Source organism: Homo sapiens, chromosome 7, assembly GCF_000001405.40.
Source record: "Homo sapiens chromosome 7, GRCh38.p14 Primary Assembly".
NCBI classification, from domain to species: Eukaryota; Metazoa; Chordata; class Mammalia; order Primates; family Hominidae; genus Homo; species Homo sapiens.
The window spans coordinates 72386198-72409943 of NC_000007.14; the positions used below are offsets into that span (position 1 = coordinate 72386198).

Consider the following 23746-nt stretch of genomic DNA (forward strand, 5'->3'; position numbering starts at 1 on the left):
ATCGAACTTTGGCACAAAGAATGAATCTTAATGCATGCAAATTTTAAAAAATGATCTAGGAGGTCCATGGAATCCCAGGATGGAATACAGAATGTGACAAATCAATCTGTGTTACAAATGGTATGACACAAACTCACTGAAGGGGTTCGGAGAAAAGTGCTGACTTAAGTAACTTTGGAAATGGCTGGGTTCTAGAAAACTCACTGCAAAGGAACTATACATAAGCGTTTTAGTTGATAAGGTTGTCTCCTATGGGTAAATTGGTTAACAATTCTGATATTACTGTACATGTAAACTAGACCTAAACAAGCAAATAAATGGTGGATGGTAGGAGCCAGATTGCAGTACTGAAGTGGGGGTTTCCAGTAAACAAGGGGAGAATTCTAGGATGACCATATAATAATAGCTTACAGTTGGAGACATCAGTGTAAACCTATGTGTTGTTAGTGTTTTTTAGAGATGGGTTATCACTCTTTCACCCAATCTGGAGTACAGTGGTGTAATCATAGCTCACTGCAACCCTGAACTCCTGGGCTCAAGAGATCCTCCTACCTCAGCATTCTGAGTAGCTGGGGCTACAGGGGCATGCCACCACACCTAGCTAATTTAAAAAAATAAATTTAAGGGGTCTTGTCACCTTGCCCTGGCTGGCCTTAACCCCATGTTTAGTTCAGTATAGATACAGATGGTTACATCTAGAAGTATAGATATGTGTACATACATAGTTTAGTATATATACATATATTTCATTATTCCGTCAGCTGAGGGGACCTAGAAATAACAATGCCTCAGTAGCAATACACAAGATGAGCCTGGAACATCTTTCAGTGCCAGAAAGAAAGTTCTCAAAACACAGGAGCTAACAGTTCCCAATGGCCAAGGGTGCAACACTTTGAGCAATAAAAGAAAAAAATTTGTACTGGATCATAACCCAAAGTATAAAATAAGTATCCATAAGTCCATACTTATGAAAATACATGATCAAACTAAGGAAGGGAGGGAGGGAGGGAGGGAAGGAAGGAAGGGAAGGAAGGGAAGGGAGGGGAGGGAGGGAGGGAGGAAGGGAGGAAGGGAGGAAGGGAGGGAGGGAGGGAGGGAGGGAGGGAGGGAGGCAGGCATCTCCCATATACAAGAATTCCATAATTTATAGGTAATCTGCTCTCATGGAGCAGGAGCATAACTCCTGTTTCTTAAGTGTAGTCTGTGCAGTGACTTTCTCCCAAAGGATACAGTACGGAAAGAGGGAAAAGTTGTAACTTCACGGTAGAGAAACCTGACAAACACACACTCCCTCCGCCCCGGGTGATCAAGGTCAACATCAACGGTGACAGTCATGTTGACAGTGTAAGCCTTTGATACAATGTGATGAAAATGGCCCTTCCCCTCTGTGATCTTCCTCCCCTACACCCATCACCCCAGTCTAATCATGAGAAAACCGTCAGATGAATCCCACTTGAGACAGTCTACAATATACATACCCAATACTTTTCAAAGCTGTCAGGATCATCGAAAATAAGAAAAGTCTGAGAAACTGTCACAGCCAAGGGGAACTAAGGAGACAGGACAAGTAAATGCACCATTGCCAGGCACAGAAGGACAAACACCACATGATCTCACCCACAGGTGATCTGAAAAGGTTGATCCCATAGAAGTTGAAAGTAGAACAGTGGTTACCAGAGGTTGGGGAGAATTGGGGGATAGGGGTAGGGAGAGGCTGGTTGGTATAGTCACAGTGAGATGAGAGGAATAAGTTGTGTTCTATTGCACAGTAAAGTGACTGTAATTAACAATAACATGTTGTATATTTCCAAAGAGTTACTAGGTTGGTGCAAAAGTAATTGTGGGTTTTGCCATTGACTTTTAATGGTGAAACGCAAAATTGCTTTTGCACCAACCTAGTAGAAGAAAGGACTTTTTAAAATGTTCTTCCAACAAAGAAATGATAAATGTTTGAAGTGATGAATATGCTAATTACCCTGATTTGATCAATACACAATCCACAAACGTGTAACATTACACTGTAACCCATAAATATGAGTTATTGTATCCATTAAAAAATAAAATACAATTTTTTAAAAAGGGGCACGTCCTTTCATCTTCCCAAGAGGTACTTCCTACCTCCTGTCCTGCCTGGACATGGTCTCAGGAGTCTTGGAGAGCAAGGAAAAATGCAAAAAAAACAAACAAAAAAGGTACCGTTATATCCTAAAATGAGATCCAAGCACAGAAAAAGGACATTAAGTACAAACCCGAGGAAATCTGCCTAAATCATGAGCCTTAATAATAATGTATCAAAGTGGTTCATTAACCGCAGCACATGTACCATACTTAAGTAAAATGCTAATGGGCGATACTGCGTGTTGGGGATATGGGCACTCTGTGCTATCTTTGCAATGTTTCTGCAAATTCAAAACCGTTCTAAAAAAAGTTTATTCTTAAAAAATTTATTCTCATATTGTCTCCCCCATCTGTGCCCTCTCCCTAAAAGATGGCCTAAAAATGCAGAGAGAGAGAGAGAATCATGGCTTAAGCATCCTGCTTGCTGATCCCACATACATGACCACAGACACCTGTTGGTCTCCAGGGGGATGTGTCTTGTCACCCGGTCGCAGGTGTGCACTGGCTGGCCAATAATCCTGAAGTTCAGAACTGGTGCATTTGGGCTCCTTCTAGTTGGTGCAATGCTTTCAGGATTCCTGGTATCTGCCCTGAGTGTTTGGGCTTCCTCTCAGCTCTGTGTGGCTGCAGATCGCTGGGTCTCTATTTTGCCCTCTCTCTAGACCTGGACCAGCAGGCCACGTCCATCCTCTGTTCTGGAAACACCCTGGCATCCAGCGCTTCCTTCAGTTACCATAAAGCTATTGAGTGAGACTCAGGAAAGCTACCTTGTTGCGCTCTCTACTCATTTAACTTGCAAGCAGTATTCTGAGCAGGTGCTCTGTCCGGTGGGCTCCCAAGGTCTCCATGGCGGGGCAACGCAGGAGCCCCTGTCCCTGGTATTCACATCAAACACCCCCTGGGGACCAATCCCAGAGAGAAGGATGCAGGAATTCTTCCAGTTCTCCTGCCTCTTTCTCATTTTGCCCTTCTCTTCTCCAACTTTGAATCAGAAAGTAGAAGTTTCCTTTACTTCTGTTTCATAGCCTCCTTCTTTCTGGCTCCATCCTCAAAATTAAGCCTTAAAAGTGTCCGAGGCATCGTCTTTACATTAGGAAAATAATTTTTAAGCCTTAAAAGTGTCAGAGGCATCTTCTTTACACTAGGAAAAGAATTCAAAAATCTGAGTCTTCCCTGTTAGGCTTTAATTTTGCAAGCTTTCACTGCCCGTGAAGCATGGTTTTAAAGTGTAACGTCTCCTTAAGAAGTCAAATGACTGTTGTTATCTTGCCCTGGGATAAAAAGTCTCTTGACTTAAGCTCAGTTGCAATCAAATACCAAGGGGCTGAGCTTGGTGGCTTGTGCCTGTAATCCCAACACTTTGGGAGGCTGAGGCAAGTGGATCACCTGAGGTCAGCAGTTCGAGACTAACCTGGCCAACATGGTGAAACCCTGTCTCTACTAAAAATACAAAATTAGCTAGGCACAGTGGTGCATGCCTGTAATCCCAGCTACTCGGGAGGCTGAGGCAGGAGAATCCCTTGAACCCGGGAGGCGGAGGTTGCAGTGAGCCAAGATCACGCCATTGCAGCCACTGCACTCCAGCCTGGGCAACAAGAGCAAAACCCCATCTAAAAAAAAAAAAGAAGAAAGAAAAGAAAAAAAAGGGGAGAATTAACAAGCACTAGTTTGATATTTGCCAAAATATTATTCCCATGGCTTACTGCTGGGGTAGTATGATGAGTTCTATGGGCTGGCTGGGTGGGAGACCAGGTTGGCTAAGGAGGGGTAGGACCTTTGCCCTGGGAAGACCTGAAAAAAGAAGCACTGGCTCTAAGAAATAAGGGGGATTGGGGCCGGGCACGGCGACTCACCCCTGTAATCCCAGCACTTTGGGAGGCCGAGGCGGGTGAATCATGAGGTCAGGAGTCCCAGACCAGCCTGGCCAACGTCGTGAAACACCACCTCTACTAAAAATACAAAAAAATTAGCGGGGCATGGTGGCAGGCACCTGTAATCTCAGCTACTCAGGAGGGTGAGGCAGGAGAATCACTTGAACCTGGGAGGCAGAGGTTGTAGTGAGCCGAGATCACGCCACTGCACTCTAGCCTGGGTGACAGTGCAAGACTCTGTCTAAAAAAGTAAAAATTAAAAAAATAAATGAGAGATTGGCTGCCCTGAGACAGTGAAACGTGGCTGAGAAACTCACCAGCCAGGGGGCCCAAGAATAGAATTCAAGAGGTCCACAAATTTGGATGGGAAAGAATATACCTTTATTTCCATTATCCTATAAATGAAATCTAGCATTTTCTTCAATTAGGAATGCAAGCCACAAGGCACCGTGGAATTAGCAATGCCCGACTGTGCCACTATTTTACTATCATGTTCCCACTGTCCCAATTACTTTGAAATGTTGTTTATGCTTACCCTAACAGCACTTCAAAATTATGATTATTATATCTACCAATAGCCCTTATTATTTAATACATCAACAAGGAAGCACATGTGTTATTATATCAACACATTTGTTCTGTTTAGTATTTTTGATACCATGCTTATGTATAATACATTTCCCTTTGTTGTTACCTCAAGTATTCTATTTTATGCATTTAGAAACATAATTCACAGGCCTCACCAGACTGCCAAAGGGATCCATGCACCAAAAGTACCCTTAAAATATATTTTTTTCTGACTCTAAGAAGATTTCTTTGTACATTGTAATTTTTCCTGACATTGAAATTCTCCAGTTACTCCCAAGCCTTCGGTAAAATCTGATTTATATACATATGCTGTGTGTTAATCGGCTTGTGGAGAATTGAGAGAGGATGGAGTAAAACAAATTTCACCCTCCCTACCCACCTCCCAACCGCAGAGGCTGGTGACTTGGTAGCAGCCACATATTGAAAGAAGATGGTAGATCCAGAGTCCCAGATGTAGACCCAAAGTGAAGCTGCAGAGGGCTAAGATGGTACAAAGCCCAGTTAGTTTAGGAAAAATGTTAAGAGATAAACACTCTTCAAACCTAATAATGATCAGAGGTATCCACAGGATCCTCAGATTGCTGGAAGGCATCTTATCTTGACTTCCCCTAGAATCCTACTTTTCCATTTCACCCAGCAAGACACCAGAAGATCCCAAAGAGGTGCACTGCTAGGACCAGGCAGCAAAAGGACCCAGCATGATGAAGAAGAAGTGTGGTAGTTTTAAAATATGGCCCCTGATATAATTTGGCTATGTCCCCACCCAAATCTCATCTTGAATTGTAGCTCCCATAATTCCCACATGCTGTGGGAGAGACCCAGTGGGAGATAATTGAATCATGGAGGGGGTTTCCCTCATACTGTTCTCGTGGTAGTGAGTAGGTCTCAAAAGATCTGATGGTTTAATAAATGGGAGTTCCCCTGCACAAGTTTTTTTGTTTTTTGTTTTTGTTTTTGTTTTTGCCTGCCACCATGTAAGACATGCCTTTCACCTTCTGCCATGATTGTGAGCCACACCCCCAGCCACATGGAACTGTGGGTCCATGAACCCTCTTTTGCTGTATAAATTACCCAGTCTCAGGTATGTCTTTATCAGCAGCATGAAAACAGACTAATACAGTCCCCAAATTCATTCAGCCTCCTTCTGTTGAGATGTGGTGTCTATGCCTCCACTCCCTGAATCTAAGAGGATTTGCACTGCTTTGACCCCTAGAGTATGGCAGAAGCAATAGCTTACAAGGTTAAGTCCTAAAATGCCAACCGGGTTCCATCTGTTTCTCTTGGAAGGCTCACTGAGATGCTCCCTTTTAGGATGCTCTTCTTACAACCCAGATACCAAGCTGTCAGAACACAAGCCACATGGCAAAACCATATGTAGATGCTCCCAGCTGAGCTAGTCCTTCAGCCATCCCATCCCAGGCACCTGACATGGAAGTGATCAAATAATGTCAGCCCCCAGCCATCTGCGTTTCTCCAACAGAGGTACCAGACATCTCGGAGCAGATACAAGCTGTCTCTACTGAATTCCTGACCTCGAGATTCCACAAGCGCAGGATGGTTGTTGGTTTATCCCCCCGAGTTTGGGGCGGTTTATTACAAAGCAATAGTAACTGGACTCAGAGACAAAAAGTTCAGGAAGAGGCTCCTGTACGGCCACATGGTTCATGGATGGAGAGCTGAACGGTGCTGATGGGAGAGACTGAGGAAGGGGCACATAGTGAAACAGGACTGAAGGTCAACTTGTGTCTCTCCAGTTCCCTTTGCACTGTGATGAGTAGAAATGACTTGTACCCAGAGTAGTACTGTCTCATACGGTCTGCTAACAGCAAGACTATTTAGGGCATGAACTCTATTGACTAATCCTCTCCCTTACCCCACTTTCTCAATAGGAGCAAAATCCTCAAATTAAAATTTGGTACAGGTCAATGCAGTGGCACATATCTGTAATCCCAGCAGTTTGGGAAGCCAAGGTGGGAGGATTGCTGGAGGCCAGAAGAATTCAAGACCAGCCTGGGCAACATAGCAAGACCCTGTTTAAATTAAAAAAGACCCTGTTTCATTAAAAAAAAAATTAATTAGCCAGACATGTTGGCATGTACCTGCTGTCCCAGCTACTTCGGAGGCTGAGGTGGGAGAACTGTTTGATCCCAGAAGTTCAAGGCTGCAATGAGCTATGATCTCACCACTACACTCCACCTGGGCAACACAGCAAGACTCTGTCACTTAAAAAAAAAATTAATACAAACACCAGGAGTGTGTTAGATGAATTCAGTCTCTCTCAGTGATTCCAATTTTTTCCATGAAAGGGTTTCTAATGAAGGACAATTACAGGGTCATAGCCCAAAGCAGCCCCGCCACAAGCAAGAACCATCTTTAAAGTCCAATATTTTTGCCTTAAAAACTAGCACTCCGGCTGGGCGCAGTGGCTCACACCTGTAATCCCAGCACATTGGGAGGCCGAGGCGTGTGGATCATGAGGCCAGATCAAGACCATCCTGGCTAACACGGTGAAACCCCATCTCTACTAAAAATACAAGAAATTAGCCGGGCATGGTGGCGGGCACCTGTAGTCCCAGCTACTCGGGAGGCTGAGGCAGGAGAATGGCGTGAACCTGGGAGGCAGAGCTTGCAGTGAGCCGAGATCGCGCCACTGCACTCCAGACTGGGAGAGAGAGCAAGACTCCGTCTCAAAAAACAAAACAAACAAAAAAACTAGCATTCTACACCATAACATATGAAGTATGTTTTTAACAGTACAATGTCTTAAACTACCTGTCATAAAGCAAGGAGGACACTGCATGAACATGTACTCTGTTGATCATCAGATGTCAGATGTACTCTGTCCCACAGCTGGGCCCCCCCCAGGCAAATGCCAAAAGAATAGGTATACAGAATTCTGATGCTCCAAAGCCCTTTTGAAGGAATCAGGTGCCTAGGAGTCGGCCATTTAGCTTATTGACCATAGAGCTTTTTTTTTTTTTTTTTTCTATTTTGAGACAGAGTCTCGCTCTGTCACCCAGGCTGCTGCACAGTGGCACAAGCTCAGCTCACTGCAATCTCCACTTCCCAGGCCCAAGCAATCCCTCTGCCTCAGCATCCTGAGTAGCTAGGATTACAGGCATGGGCCACCGTGCCTGGCCTCGGAGCACTCTTAAATATTTATCAGCATTGATGTTAATCATCAAGTTGTGGCATGTTTTATTAAAAGAATCACATAGGAAGTAAATGGATCCTGAGTGAACAGATTTCCAAGAGATGGGGTCAGCAAATCTCCAAGAAGATGAAAAAGTGATCAGAATTTCTTAGCTAAGATCATTGGTAATATGTATGGTGGAGTGCAGAATTTACACTTTGTGCATATAGAATTTTTTTCATCATGAAGACACTTCTCTTGATCCTGCACCCTCTCACTTCCTCAGGGACATGACTCAAGCACTTCCTTTCTGTCACCTCCTTCCCCTCCACTCTGGTGTCCTCGTCCTCAAAAGCCCTTCCCTTAGGTGAATTGGTATGGTAATTCTGGAGAGCAATTTGACAAAACCTAGCAAAAGAAAAAATGTACATGTTTTGACCCAGATGTTTCACTTCTAGAAAATGTAGCTTTAGCTATGCTTGCACAAGTTTGTAAGGATAAATGTTGCTCATACACAGATGCTCTCCAAAGCATTGCCTGTGAGAACAAAAACAGAGCATGACCTGAACAGACATCATTACGGGACTGGTCCAGTACATTGCAGTACAATAGAAAAGGATGCTGGTAATCAACTGTTGAGTGAAAAAAAAGTTGCATAGCAATGTGATCACATTCATAATAATAAACTGCATATTTTGATGTATATATGCTTATTTAATCTGAGTGTATGGCACAACTTCAGGGGTACCATTGACTTTTTTTTTTTTTTTTTGAGACACAGTCTCACTATGTTGCCCAGGCTGAAGTGCAGTGGCGCAATCGTAGCTCACTGCAGCCTTAAATTCCTGGGATCAAGCAATCCTCCCACCTCAGCCTGCTGAGTAGCTGAGACTACAAGGGTACCAACATGCCCGTTTTATTTTATTTTTTTGTAGAGATGGACTCTCACTAGATTGCCCGGGCTGGTCTCAAACTGCTGGACTCAAGTGATCCTCCCACCTCAGCCTCCCAAAGTGCTGGGATTACAGGCATGAGCCATCGTGCCCAGCCTACATTCTATTCTTGTCTTGTAAGTGAATGAATGGTACACATGGGAACTGCACATCTGCGTATGTGTGTCACCTGATGTGCCCCAGGAACGCCCTGAGCTTGCATGTATCCTAACACATAAACTCTATGGTAAGTACTAACCTACCTCCCCAAGACCCTGTAGACTGCATGAGGAAAGGATTATTCACCTTTTTATCTCCAACATGCAGCACTGTACCTGGCACACCAATGGCACTTGAATAAATAAGGGTGTGAGCATTCATGGGCCCCAGAATATGTCAGTTATCTATCATTTGCATTGATCTAAGAACTAGGCATGTCCCCGGGAGAGAAAATAAACACTTAATAGGTGGTTTCCAGGCTTTAGCAAACACATACACACACACGCTGCGCACGCGCGCGCACACACACACACACACATATCCAGGGTTCCAGGCTCAAACTGTATTTGGAAAAACTGAGATAAATGAAGATAAACCATTTTCTTGGCTGTAGGGCATCACTAAGATTTTAATTTGCATTGATACTCTCCAAGAGGCAGATACAGTATGGAGTATCATCCGAATTTTACTGACCATGAAGCACCTTTAGAGGAACATTTATTTATATTGATGTTCTGAGGATCATTCATCTGTAACAGGCTGCATTAGAAGAATCACAAAGGAAGTCAATGGATCCCAGGTGAAAGTCAGATTGCCAAGAGGTGGGGTCCAAGAATCTCCAGGAGGGTGAAAGAGTGATGAAAAGTTTCTTAGGTAAGATCATTTGAAACTCCCATTGGATGTCGAAAACCGAGAAGGAAAAGATTTGGTCAATGGAACAAGAGCAAGCAAAGCATGCTTGTTGAGCTGATAGCAGGGTGGCAAAAATCCTCCCCCTGGGGACTTCTGGGACCTTGGCAGGGATGTCAGGGAAGGAGCCCAGTGATCAGAATTCCAGGAGCTTCCTGAAAAGCTTCTGATTTAGGAGGTAGGACCTCCAAATATATATATTTTAACTCACCAGATACATTTTGACGTTGAGCTAAATTTTGAACTGGCCATTGCTTGACATCGCTCCTTCTGCTCTGACACTAGCTCTTGTTCCCTCCAGAATCTGATCAGCAAACTGATGGGAGCAGAGGCTACATTACATGAGGCGAGATTAAGAAGGAAGTCAGGCCGGGCACAGTGTCTCAAGCCTGTAATCCTAGCACTTGGGAAGCCAAGGCAGGCAGATCACTTAAAGTCAGGAGTTCGAGACCAGCCTGGTCAGCATGGTGAAACTCTTGTCTCTACTAAAAAAAAAAAAAAAAAAAAAAGAAAGAAAAAGAAAAATTAGCTGGGTTTGCTGGCAGGCACCTGTAATCCCAGCTACTCGGAATGCTAAGGCAGGAGAATCGCTTGGACCTGGGAGACAGAGGTTGTGGTGAGCCAAGATCATGCCACTGCACTCCAGCTTGGGTGACAAAAGGAGACTCTGTCTCAAAAAAAAAAAAAAAGGAAACAAAAAGTGGAGAAATAGAGCAATGTATGCAATTTTTCTTGGGGGAAGAAAGAAGACACTGGTGAATAGGACGGAGGAGGTATAATTGATGGAATAAGGTCTCTAAAGACAGTGTGTCGGGGAAGAGATATCTGAGCACATGTGGCAAGTGGTCCTTGGACTTGGGAAAGGACCGTCCTCTACTATAATGGGCAGAGAGGGGCAAAGACAGAGCTGAATGTAGAAAAGGTGACAGTTGGGTGGGTAGGGAGTTGAAGATGTTTCTGCCTGGGGTCTTTGTTTTAATTGTGAGGGAGAAGGTGACACCATTCTTAAGACAAGTGAGTCGGGGTTGAAATAGTCATGGAGACCTGACCACTAGAACCATGACTCACACTGAGAACTTCGTTGAGGTTGAAGGTTAGAAGTATATAGGATCATCTATCTGTGTCCCATATCCTTGTAGAATCTTTTAGTAGTAGTAGTAAAAGTAGTAGTAGAACTAGTAAGACAGGGTCTGTCTGTGTTGCCCAGGCTGGAGTGCAGTGGCATGATCATAATTCACTGCAGCCTCCAAATCCTGGGCTCAAGCAATCCTCCCCCCTCAGCCTCCAAAGTGGCTAGGACTACAGGCATCCACCACCGTGCCTGGTTAATTTTTTTTAGTTTTGCAGAGATGGAGTCTCACTATGTTGCCCAGGCTGGTCTCAAGCTCCTGGCCTCAAGCAATCCTCCTGCCTCAGCCATCCAAAGTGCTGGGATTACAATCATAAGCCATCATACTCAACCCATGTAGGATTTTACCCCGGAGCACTCCACATACTGAAGCAGAAGTAACAATAGAAAACAGCTGTCAGGGAGGATGCCAGAGAGAGGCAGGTTGCAGTGTAAGCACCCAGAGGGTCCACATTCTAGAAGATGACAAGATCAAGGTTGAGGCCACAGGAGTCAAAGTCAAGAGGATAGAAGGTCACAGGAGTTGAAGTTGAGGCAACAAGAGGTGAGAATGTTGCCTGGTCATCTCCATGCTCATTCATCTCCCCAGTATGATCAGGACTTGCAGCAGATATAAGAATGAATAAGCTGCTAGGGAATTCCAGGAGTGAAGGGGTGACTAGAAGAAAAGCAGGTCACAGCAATGAGGAAGAGGGAGTCAGGAAATGTGTTCCTCAATGGGGCAGAGATTTTTACACAATGGTTAGGAACAAGCACATGAAGGTCTACCAGTAGCCTCTTCAAGTGAAGGATCTCACTGCTCCTCTTGGGGGATCTTGGAGAGCACCCATTCTCTCTCACACACACACACACACACACACACACACACACACACCTTGCTCCAACCAAAGTGGGTCCTCTAAGTATTAGCCTACCCTTAGGACTTACTTTAGAAAAGCTTTTATGAGCAAAACAAAAAAAAATTAAACACCATTGATCATGCCTAGCCCTTCCATTATAAGCCAAGGATGAGCTTGATGAAGGTACCCACTGCTGCATCCTGCTAGCATGCCACGTGAGGTACACTCTCCCCTAAGACACAGCTCCTGGATGATGCATCCTTTTAGGGCCGATGAGTTCGGCACCACTGAAGTCCAGAAGAGCCAAGCATTGTGGGGAAGTAGGACCATTGGCCAGAGAAGGGCCATGATGGAAGCCCTTGGACACCTGTTAGGGACAGGGAAGAGAGGCAAGAAGAGGAGAAATAAAGATGGCAAGCAAAGAGGAGTCCAGCTGATGATTCCAATCTAGCAAGGAAGAGCAGCTCAGCGTCCAGGCAACAAAGGCTGAGTTCCTTCAGCCTCTCACTGTGCAGGACCTTCCGTCACAAGGAAGTTTACAGGTCTTGTTTATGTGTAGACTTTTTATAAGCTATTCAGAGCAGGGGTGGGAGGGAAAACTAGAGAGAAAAGTTCCCTTTGAATTTCCATTGCTTTCAGAGTCGGCAATTTAATGAGTCAGGCATTCTAAATTCCTTGCTTTGTCTACACGTTTTCATTTCAAAATACGAAAAAACACTTTGTTTGGAACATGAGTTATTTTTAGATCACATATCAATAGTGCACATCCACTTCTCCCCACATGAATAAAAAAGCTTCCTTTGGATTGGGCTGAAGCCACACCATAGTGGTAGGGTTATTTAGCTGGCATTTGTTGAAGCTACCTGGGCATCACTCTAGTCCCTGGAATCTGTCTTCTAGGTGGCATCATGGATGAGTCAGCTCTAGACCTGTTCCAAAGAGCTCCCAATCTCATAGTCTGGACAAGAAGTAAAGAAGTGAAGGATTTCACTGCTCCTCTTAGGGGTCCTGGGGGACACCCCATTATCCCAAATACATACGCACACACCTTGCTCCAACCAAAGTGGGTCCTCTGAGTATTAGCATTCCCCATATGACTTTAGAAAAGTTTCTATAAACAGAAACAAAAAAATTAAACACCATCGATCACACCCAACCCTTCCATTATAAGCCAAAGATGAGCTCAAGACCACACAGTGAATTGAGGGAGGTACCCACTGCTTCCTCCTGCTAGAGTGTCCTTTCAGACCTCCATGCCAAGGAGTCACCTTGACAGGCTAGAAAAAAGGTCAGGGCTTCCTTGCTTCACTCCCTTGTGAGAACTTTGAGAAAAAGGAGTAGAAGAGAAGGAGGTCACCATCTACAGGTCACCTCCTCCAGATGCATTGAGAAGCATGCTGACACCTTAGCAAAGACAGGAGCGGACAATCTAGGATCTTCTGCAGTAACGTAGGCTGACAAATGGGAGGACAATGGGCTGCAAGGCTGGCTGGCTGTGGGAAGGGTGGTGTCCCTACCTCTACAGTCCCCAGCCGGTTTTGTCTAACCTATTGCTTTTTTTTTTTTTTTTTTTGAGATGGAGTCTCACTCTGTCACCAGGCTGGAGTGCAGTGGCGCGATCTTGGCTCACTGCAACATCCGCCTCCCAGGTTCAAGCGATTCTCCTGCCTCAGCCTCCCGAGTAGCTGGGACTGTAAGCGCACACCACCACCCCCAGCTAATTTTTGTATTTTTAGTAGAGATAGGGCTTCACCATGTTGGCCAAGATGGTCTCGATCTCTTGACCTCGTGATCCACCCACCTCGGACTCCCAAAGTGCTGGGATTACAGGCATGAGCCACCGTGCCTGACCTAACCTATTGCTTTTGTTCCGTAAGTCACAGTTCACTAATTTGAGTCTTGTAGGGATCACCTTCTTAAAAAGCTCCAACTTAAGCCTTAATAGCAAATACTTTCCCAGCACTTCATGGAGAGTCAACTAACTCCAAGAATAAGACATACATCTAATAGCTCAAGGAACTGGAGGGATATAGCTTGGGTATTTGTCCCCTCCAAATCTCATGTTGGAATGTGATTCCGTGTTGGAGATGGGGCCTAGTGGGAGGTGTTTGGGTCATGCAGGCGGATGCCTCATGAATGCCTGGGCACCCTTCCTGTGATAATGAGTGAGTTCTCACTCTATTAGTTCATGCAAGAGCTAGTTGTTAAAAAGAGCCTGGCATCTCTCTTGTTCCCTCTCTCTCCATATGACATGCCTGCTCCCCCTTTGCGTTCCACTATGATTAGAACCTTCCTGAGGTCCTCAGCAGAAGCAGATTAGGCCATCCCCTTCTTGTACAGTCTGCAGAACCATGAGCCAAATAAACCTTTTTTTTAATCAATTACCCAATCTCAGGTATTCCTTTATAGCAGCACAAAACGGACTAATACATGGGGGTGAGGAGGCACCCCGCTTCTCTAGTCATTCCCCCTCCCCATCTTCTGTCCACCCATTTATAGTGGCAGCAGCTACGTTCATGCATCTGACCCTCTTCTCTTGGGCACTACTGATTTGATCTGGAGTGGACAGCAATGAGCTTGTTTCCCAGGGGATTTGGAATTGAGACCACACTGATTCCTCCATTTAATCACTGTCAAACAGATAGCTATTTGACAGGAATCATCTTCATATGGACAGAGAAACCCAAGAGACTTAGCTTTCTCAGATTTTCCACATCCTTCTAGGTCCTTGATGATGAGCTAAATTTTGAACCGGCCATTGCTTGGCATTGCTCCTTCTCTGACACTAGCTCTTGTTCCCTCCAGAATCTGATCAGTAAACTGATGGGAGCAGAGGCTACATTACATGAGGCGAGATTAAGAAGGAATCAAGGCCAGGCATCATGGTTCAAGCCTATAATCCCAGCACTTTGGGAGGCCAAGGCAGGTGTATCACTTGAGGTCAGGGGTTTGAGACCAGCCTGGTCAACATGGTGAAACCCCGTCTCCACGAAAAATATAAAATTAGCTGGGTTTGGTGGTGGCCACCTGTAATCCCAAAGCTGCACCTCTGGCCTTAGATTTCATGAGACCCACCCTCTGCCCACTCCCATGGATATCTCCCTAACATGTTTCCCTTTTTACTTCTGATAACTCTCCTGGGCTTCTGTCCCTTGCAACCAATATGGCTCTGGGAGGTGTGAAAGTGATCTGGAGATGGAAGATGAGACACATCAAGGAGACTCCTCTCTGCTTTCTAACTTCGCCTGCCCTGCCCACACTGTGCATAACCACTCAGGCCACTGCAGCGAGGAAACAGTGGTGGCTCTCTTTTGAGCATGCTTTGGGGTGAGAGGAGGGCCCTGGTGCCCGTTTTTGCTAAGGTGTCAACATGCTTCTCTCAATGTACCTGGAAAAGATGACCTATAGATGGGGACTGCATTCTCTTCTACTCCTTTCTCTCAAGGGTCTCACAATACCCAGGCAGTGCTTTACCTGAAGGAGGTTCCCAACCAAAGAACTGAAGGGCAGGAGGCAATGCACTCTGAGAGATAACATTACTGCTGAACCTAAGGGGAGAACACGTTCCTGATGGGCTGTGTTCTCACTCCCCTCCACATCCAACTCCCTGGAGCCAAGACCTTGACCACAGATCTCCCTCCTCTGGCCCCACCCGATCCCCTGCTTTTTGGCTTTCTCTCTCTCAGCCCACTGCACAAAGAAAATCTTTAAGGAATGTGTGGATACATCCCCAAGGAATAACAAAAACAGAAACATGTTCAGTGCGTGTGTGCGCGCACACAAATGTGTGACTGCAACAAGCCAGAAGGTGTAGAGACCCTTAGCCCCAGGGTCTAAAGGGAGTTCATGTTCAGCCCCAAAGGAGAAGCACATGCCTTGGGAGAAACTGATTCCTTGGGTCATCACTGTCCCCCAGAGGCAGGTGACACTCAACTGCCTAATTCACGCTGCTCGCAACTCTTGCCAAAAAATTCCAAATTCCCAAAATTCAGGAACAAATGAGGAAACATTTTTAATGTAACAGTGTGTTGAGCAAAAAGATTTGTCTGTTTGCTGTGTGATATCCTCAGATCTAGAGGTAGGCAAATATCCCTTTCCTCCGTCACACCAGCTTTCTGTAAGGCAGCCCTCCTAGGACTTACCAAAATGTTTCTCTTACTCAATTCTTACCTCCTTTTCTCAACATGCCCCACCCCCTTTTCCAGGGGAAGTGTTCAACATCCTTTCATTTATCCTAGGCTGGTAAAAGTCCAACCATGCCTGCCTTTGGTGGAAGGTCCTCTCCTGGAAGGGATGAGCTGGGATGGGGAGACCATCCCAAGATGATCTCTGACTCTAGCCAACCTTCCTTGCTCTTCCTTGCTCTGAGCCTGCCCTTCAGCATTTGTCATTTCCAGCTTTACATTGTCCTATTCCAGATGCTTCCTCAGAGGCTAAGAGAGTGGCTTCCCCAGTAGGTAAGCGTTCTCTTGGCCAGGGGTCTCATCAGCTCCTGCCCTTGACTTCTCAAATGTCAAGTTGTGTTGGAGAAGATTCTGAACAGAGTCTTGTAGCATCCTGTTCCTGGGTCCCACAGCCTAGCTCCCTGCTCATGGGAGAAACTGCTGAACATCAGGAGCTCTAGTCACCAAAAATACATCCACTTCCTTTTCTTCCCCACAAGCCTAACTCTAAACTCACTGCCCCCACCATATACACTTACAGTCGCCACTGGAAGCTGGTGGCTAAAGCTGGAGATCCCATTCTGAACAGCCTTAGGGAGACAATTTCAGGATGTACCCATTTATAGGACTCACCACAGACCAATTCCTTGATGCCAGCATCCACAAAGATCAAAATTGTGTTCTATACCAAACCACACCCAGAGTTGAAATTCCTCTTGAGTTTGTATAGCCATGAGGGTCTCCGAGGAAAAGAAAAAAGAGCAAGATCAAAAACCCAGGGAGGCCTGTGGCTTGGTAGCATAGAAAACTCCTCACCCCGAACTGACCGCATCAATGACCAGAGACAGACAGGGTAGCCTAGTGGTTAGGAGCATAATTTTTTGGTGGGGGATGGGGTGAGATTCAAAGACACTTGGGTAGGAATCCCAGGTTTGCCTTTGGCTGTGATCTCAGTCAAGCTGCCTGTTTGTGTTACTTTCCTCCTGTCGAAACGAGATTAACAATACCCTCATAAAATTATTTGAGAATTGATTGAAATTGTCTATGCAAAGCTCCCATTTTTATGCTAGTACATAGTCCACACTCTGTAAGTTGTATTTGTCATTGTTCACCTGAAAACAAGCATGTCCCTCCCCAAGAGTCAGTTTGCAAACCCATCCCTTCATCCCATCCACACATCTCAAATAGGCTCAAGAAAGGGGATAGAATCTCTGTACCCAGCCAGGACAGCTCTCCCAGGTGTCCATTTCATAGATTCTCCTCTCCAGCCTAGACACGCAGCAGCGGCAAAGCCTCCTGGACCCCGCGCCACCCCCTACCTGAGGGCTGCCAAACAATCTAGGTCCTTGGGTTTGGGGGAAGAAGACTTGCCAGGTGGGGAAGTCGGGGGCCTGGCTCCTCGGCGGCTCCTCTCCCCCTCCGAGGGCTCCTCCGTCCCCCTTTTTCTCATTCTCGGGCTTCCCCTCTCCGGGTTGCTCTGGCAGCCGCATCGGGGGTCCAGGGCGATGTTCTCAGAGAGAGTTAGAAGCTCATCAAAGGAACGTCAGCGAAGGCACTGAGACTCTGAAAGGAGTTGACAGAAACTTACAGCCTGCACAGTGCTGGGCGATTATTCTTCTCAAAGCCTGCCGCCTAAATAATTCACACCCTCCCTTCCGTGTTTACACAGGACAATGGTAGAAACACAATCCTGGCACAAGAAATATAATTACAGTTGAGACACATGTTTAGTTATTAATAAGGCCTCAATGTCACCAGAGGGTATTGCACAACAAGCCAATAATGGGCTTTTGGAGCCAACCTTAATATTTACAGGTATTTTTCCATTCGTACCCCCGTGGGCATTGCTGGAGTATGTGCAGTGTGGAGAAAGCTATAGCCGCCAAAGTGATTGCAACTTGCAAGGAAGCAAAACATCTTGCCAGCATCATTTGTTTCCTTGCTGCTGACACCAGGAAAGCCACAGAAACTAAATGGGGGACTGAGCTGGAAATCACCGTCTAACGGTGAAGGACTCTGGCCCAGCCTCCCAAACTTAGTCATGCTGTCGCAATCCCAGGGCAATACCCTCCTAACTTCCTTAAAGCATACAGCATCCAAGATGGCATCCCATTACCAGCTCCAGGGCAGACCTGCAACCCATGCATATGGAATCTCTAGGTCCACTTGATGTCACCAAGTGGCAACATCCTCTTTCTACCTCTCTCTGGTATCGTTACCACCTACTTGTCCCTTACAACTCAGCTCAGGTGTCACCTCTTCTGAAAAGTTGTCCTTGACCTGGCCCTCTCCCTTGGTTGGGTTAAGGCACCCCTCGTCTCTGCCTACTTCTACTGTCATTTGTCCACAATCTCCATCCCCTCCTCCCAACATTGTGTTGAGAAAAACCCCAGGCAGGGAAGAGCTCAGATGCACACTGTGTGGCATTTAGGCCCAGGCAGGGACAACCTTAAAATAATTGGTGCTCAATAAATATGTATTGAACACACAGTTAATCAATGTCAGTTCTCTTTGGTTTCATTGAAGGTAAAAACAAACAATAATAAAGACAAACAAAGACTCTCTTGAGATGTGAAGTTCAGAGAGTGTAAATGGAAGACGTTGGTGATGAAACCAACAAAGCCCCGGCCACCATGGATCAGGGCCCCATCTGAGAGAGTTGTACCCATAAGAACGTCTACACATTGCAGCAGGCAATGGCTTCTCGCAGAAACACACAGATGAGTCTCCATTTCTCACTACTTGGCCCCTGAACATTGTATCCTGGGAAGAGTCCCTCTGCCCTCTTTCTACTCTCTCGATTCTGGTGAGAGGTGCATGCTCATGCCTGGGAAGTGGTCTCCTATCAAAGTCAGCTCTTAGAAGATCAGGCTCAAAAAATGACTGTAGAAAGCAGGAAGAAGGCTTGAAGAGCTGTATGTGGATGGTGGACATTATTGTTGCAGGTTGTTGTAAATCTGCACGCACAGTACCCACTGAAAGTCAGCCTCAATCGGCTCAAATGAAAGAGGCTCAGCCCAAAGCCCTGTGAGTAACTCATCAGCTACTGGTGTGAATGAATGACGGACAGACACATAAACCAACTAGATGCTTTGTAATTTCCATCTGAACCAGAAACCCCCATGGTCTTAGCTCAGAGCTGGACCAGATGGTGTCTGGGTGCCCCAACCTCCGAGGTCTCTGGTTCCCCAATGGTTGTGGGATGGAGTTAAGCCCTCCATCCCACAGGAATGATGAGATACGACAGGAAGGGTGTTATGTCCTGCGATTGGGCCGGCACTTCCCAAGGGTTGGGATCTCAAAGACACCTTAAAGAGAGTAAGTGTCTCAAAGCAAGAAGTCACATCTCACCAAACAGCACATGTGCAACGCACCCATGCAACAGTACTTGGCCTCAAACACATACATGCACACACACACAACAGCACTGGTCTTCAGATGCGTGCTCACAGACCAGCCTTGTAACACTCATAGCCTAGGGATGATCTGAGACCCATCTAGCATAGCTTGGGAGGTCTCAGGAAACTTAACAATTATGGTGGAAGGCAAAGGGCAAACAGGCATGTCTTCACACGCCTGTTTCCTGAGACATATGCCCAGGAGCACTCACCCCCACACCCACATGGCTCCCACGCAACTTCACACAGCTGCACACTCTGTCCCCAGCAGCACACACCCGTACGCCGCTCTCTTACACATGCCTATGACTCATCTATTCACACACACTACAACGCCCACTTCCCCACACACGCGGCACATGCCGAAACTCTTGGAGACTTCTCTAGTTAGCTCGTTAAGTTAAACAGGAGAAGCAAGTGTGTCATTACAGTAGAAACGCAAAAAAAAAAAATGACATTTTATTTTCAGATATGCTTTTAGTTGCCATGGCAGTCCCCAGCACCATGGAAGTTGTGATTGGTGGTAAATGCATATTTCAAAAAGCAGTAATTAGCTCCCCATATGCAAAAACTTCTGAATATGTTGAGTCCCTTCTCTTGTCAGGTCCCCCCAGGCAGTGTGGACATCAGAGCAAGGCACCCAGATGAGAACTGTCGGGAGCTGATGGTCGCCAGGCTTCTGAGCCCAATACACTTAATGACCTGGAACCTGCCCACAGCTCAACAGGCGCACGGCACTGAAGGTGGCAGCTCCCCGTAAGGAACAATCGCTCCTGCTGCTCAGCTGGCTCTGGTGCCCTCACTGCGGCACTCGCGATGTGCCAGAGAAACACAAAGCCAGGGGACCCAAAATGGAGCTGGCTCCCATAGCCAGAAGCCGTCTCTCCAGAATTCCCCTCTCCCAGTCACAGCTGCCTGCTGGCGTAACGAGGGAAGCCAAGCAGCCCTGCACAAGCCGGACTAACCACCGTCGGCCAACTAATGAAGCACCCCATGTTGGCATCTGCACATAAGACAGACCTCCATCTTCCCCCAATTTAACTGGAAGCTTCTCCAAGACACAGGCACCTCCTGAGTCCTCACAGCCTTATGCATCTTGGGACCCAAGGTGCATTTCCCAATGAGCTTCCTTGTCCCCAAATTAACCGGTTATCTCATTTCCTGATGCGATTCCTAAGGGTGATTAATTTCCAGAATTTGTCCTCTAAAGTCCATTTGCTAATTGCCTTTACAATCGTCATCTGAAAGGTCAGCCGGAAGGAGCTGGATTTTTGAGCCCCAGTCTTGAAGTTAGATCTCTGGGCTAATTCCTAGACCCACATGAGGGTCCTTGTCAGCTTTTTTTTTTTTCTTTTTTAAGACGGAGTCTTGTTCTGTCACCCAGGCTGGAGTGCAGTAGCGTGATCCCTGCTCACTGCAGGCTCTGCCTCCCAGGTTCAAGCCATTCTCCTGCCTCAGCCTCCCAAATAACTGGGATTACAGGTGCACACCACCAGGCCTGGCTAATTTTTGTATTTTTAGTAGAGACGGGTTTCACCATCTTGGCCAGGCTGGTCTTGAACTTCTGACCTCAAGTGATCTGCCTGCCTCAGCCTCCCAAAGTGCTGGGATTACAGACATGAGCCACCGCGCCAGCCCCTTGTCAGCTTTTCATTCCAATAGGTGACCTACCCACTTCCTTTAGCACTGAAAATGCCCCTGGAACACTGCCCAGTCACTCTTTCAGGGCTCAGACCAGTAGGAGGCACTCTTATCCACCCAAAAAGTGATGTAGCCCTGGGTCTACGCTTTGAGTACTCTATCACCTGCATCACTTTTACCAACCCACAATATGCAGAGAATGGTGAAGTAATATTGTTAAGAACATCACTAATCAAATTAGACCATCCAGTTCAAATCCTGGCTGTGCCACTTAGGGGCTGTGTGACCTTGGGCAAGTGACTTAACCTCTCTGGGCTTCACTTTCCTGATCTGCAAAATGAACCTGATAATAACACCTACCTTTTAAAGTTATTGTAAAGTGTTAGGCACAGAGCAGGTGCTACATATGCTAGCCACCTGATACGGTTTGGATTTGTGTCCCCACCCAAATCTCATGTCAAACTGTAATCCCCAATGTTGGAGGTGGGGCCTGGTAACAGGTGACTGGATCACGGGGGTGTATTTTTCCCACTTTCATGCTGTTCTTGTGATACAGTTCTCATGAGATCTGGTTGTTGCAAGTGTGTGCAAACAACTTTGCTGCTTCCCTCCTCTCTTCTCCTCCTGCTCTGGCCATGTGAAGACATGCCTGTTTCCCCTTGGCCTTCCACCATAATTGTAAGTTTCCTGAGGCCTCCCCAGCCATGCTTCCTGTATAGCCTGCAGAACCGTGAGCCCATTAAACCCCTTTTCTTTGTAAATTACCCAGTCTCAGGGATTTCTTCAGAGCAGTGCAGTAACAGACTAATACACTATCATTCTCCATTTTTTCTTTTTGCACTAATACTGACTGAGCTTCTCAGCTCAGATGGGCGCTGGACTGGACACAGGGCCGGATGGAGGTGGGATGTGTGGAAATGAATCCACCACAGATGTAGCCTCACGGAGCTCAGAGAGTCAAGCTGGAAACTCAGACACAAACACACGGAACCGGGGAAGATTGTCCCTACTCCTTCAGTCTGGAGGATCAGCTTGTTCCTGAGAGTATCCAAGAAGGGAGACTTTGATTCTCCCCTTCTGTGGCACTAGGTATGCAAATATGCACTGTATGGCATTTAGGCGCAGGCAGGAGCAACCTTGAAATAATTGGTGTTCAATAAACATATATTGAACACACATTTAATCAATGCCAGTTCCCTTTGGTTCCATATTGACGTTAAAAACAAACCGTAGGCCTGGCATGGAGGCTCACATCTGTAATCCCAGCACTTTGGGAGGCCAAGGGGGGTGGATCACCCAAGGTCAGGAGTTTGAGCCCAGCCTGGCCAACATGGTGAAACCCCATCTCTATTAAAAAAAAAAAAAAAAAAAAATTAGTAGTGCGTGGTGGCTCACGCTTGTAGTCCCAGCTACTCAGGAGGGTAAGGCATGAAAGAGAATCACTTGAACCCGGGAGGTGGAGGTTGCAGTGAGCTGAGATCACGCCACTACACTCCAGCCTGGGCAACAGACTCGGTCTCAGAAAAAAATTAAACACACACACAGAGATAATAAAGACAAAGACTCTCTAGACGTGAAGGTCAGAGAGCGTAACTGGAATATGTTGGTGATGTTGGTGACAAAACCAACAAGGCCCTGGTCATCATGGATAATTTTTTGTATAAATTCATGGGATACAAGTGCAATTTTGTTACATGCAAGGATTGCATGGTGGTCATGAAAAGACATACAAATGACCACCAATTATTATCTTTTCCTTTTTTTTTTTTTTTTTTTGAGACAGGGTTGCACTCTGTCACCCAGGTTGGAGTGCAGAGGCGCAATCATAGCTCCCTGCAGCCTCAACCTCCCGGGCTCAAGTGATCCTGCCACCTCCAGTCCCCTCAGTAGCTGGGACTACAGGCGGGCACCATCACTCCTGGCTAATTTTTGTATTTTTTGTAGAGATGCAGTTTCACCATGTTGCCCAGGTTGGTCTCAAACTCTTGGGCTCAAGTAATCTACCCACCTCAGCCTCCCAAAGTGCTGGGATTGCAGGTGTGAGCCACCACACCTGGCCCCAAGTATACTTTTTTTGGGGCAGGGGGGCAGCGGTGGAACAGAGTCTTGCTCTGTGGCCCACACTAGACTGCAGTGGCACTATCTCAGCTTACTGCAACTTCCGCCTCCCGGATTCAAGAGATTCTCCTGACTCAGCCTCCCCAGTAGCTGGGATTACAGGCGCCCGCCACCGCTCCTGGCTAATTTTTGCATTTTTAGTAGAGACAGTGTTTCACCATCTTGGCCAGGCTGGTCTCCAAGTCCTGACCTCATGATCTACCCGCCTCGGCCTCCCAAAATGCTGGGATTACAGGCAGAAGCCACTGCACCTGGCCCAGCATACTCTTAAATGGACCTCTGTGCTTGTAACCCATGCACCAGATTGGTTGCTGAAGGCCACAGAGGCTGAAATGATGAGGTTGGCCAGTCCACTCAGACTGTATCCACATACCTCCCTTCCTCAGAGGCTGGCGCAGAGTATAATCTTAAACGGATCTCTGTGCCAGCCTCTGAGGAAGGAGGCATATGGATAGTCTGAGTGGACTGGCCAACCTCATTATTTCAGCGTCTGTGGCCTTCAGCAACCAATCTGGTGCATGGGTTACAAGCAGACTCAGCACACCAAAGTCTTTCATGGATTTGATCCCTTTCAAAGTATCTAAAATTCCAATCACTGGGAGCAAGATTGAGCTGAAAATCTAATGTTTGGGAATGGAGAGGGATGAACCTGCATTGTTTATGGGCATAAATAATTCATAAGCATGGGTTAAATGGTTTTTAGCCTCTGGGACCCCATGGAACAGTGGTTCCCAGGCTGTTACTCGAAGACCCAATTCAAAGAATCACCAAGGAACGTTCCCTCCCTTTTAACCACGTTGGGCATCAAGTTACAGTCTTTTCTTTTGCATCTTGTGGTCTCTGCTAGATTTTACAATTGTTGAGGGCCACATTATAATCAGTTTTTTCCCTGTAATGCTTGATAATG

General features: G+C 46.3%; 1 protein-coding gene across 8 annotated transcripts in view, besides 2 other annotated features; it reads right to left on the reverse strand.

Annotated features, from left to right (window-relative positions):
• Positions 1–23746, reverse strand: part of CALN1 (calneuron 1) — a 724789-nt gene that overhangs the window by 606707 nt on the left and 94336 nt on the right. For 2 of the 8 annotated variants that reach the window (XM_017012676.3, NM_031468.4), the window contains exon 2: positions 17054–17245. The exons of 5 other annotated variants lie outside the window; for them this stretch is intronic. In XM_017012676.3, coding sequence (XP_016868165.1) covers positions 17054–17172 — 119 coding nt within the window. In that variant the 5' untranslated portion in view covers positions 17173–17245. Of the gene's footprint in view, positions 1–17001; positions 17246–23746 lie in introns of all 8 variants that reach the window. One more of the 8 variants, XM_047420910.1, reaches the window with a different exon arrangement.
• Positions 19049–20248: an enhancer, noted in NCBI's record as "MED14-independent group 3 enhancer chr7:71870231-71871430 (GRCh37/hg19 assembly coordinates)". NCBI's record gives its function as "activates an origin of replication core promoter dependent on BRD2, BRD4, P300/CBP and CDK7 cofactors, and independent of MED14, by STARR-seq in HCT116 cells {active_cell/tissue: HCT116}" and the evidence as "EXISTENCE:reporter gene assay evidence [ECO:0000049][PMID:35650434]".
• Positions 19502–19551: a silencer, noted in NCBI's record as "silent region_18238". NCBI's record gives its function as "represses an Ori minimal core promoter by ATAC-STARR-seq in GM12878 lymphoblastoid cells {active_cell/tissue: GM12878}" and the evidence as "EXISTENCE:reporter gene assay evidence [ECO:0000049][PMID:35858748]".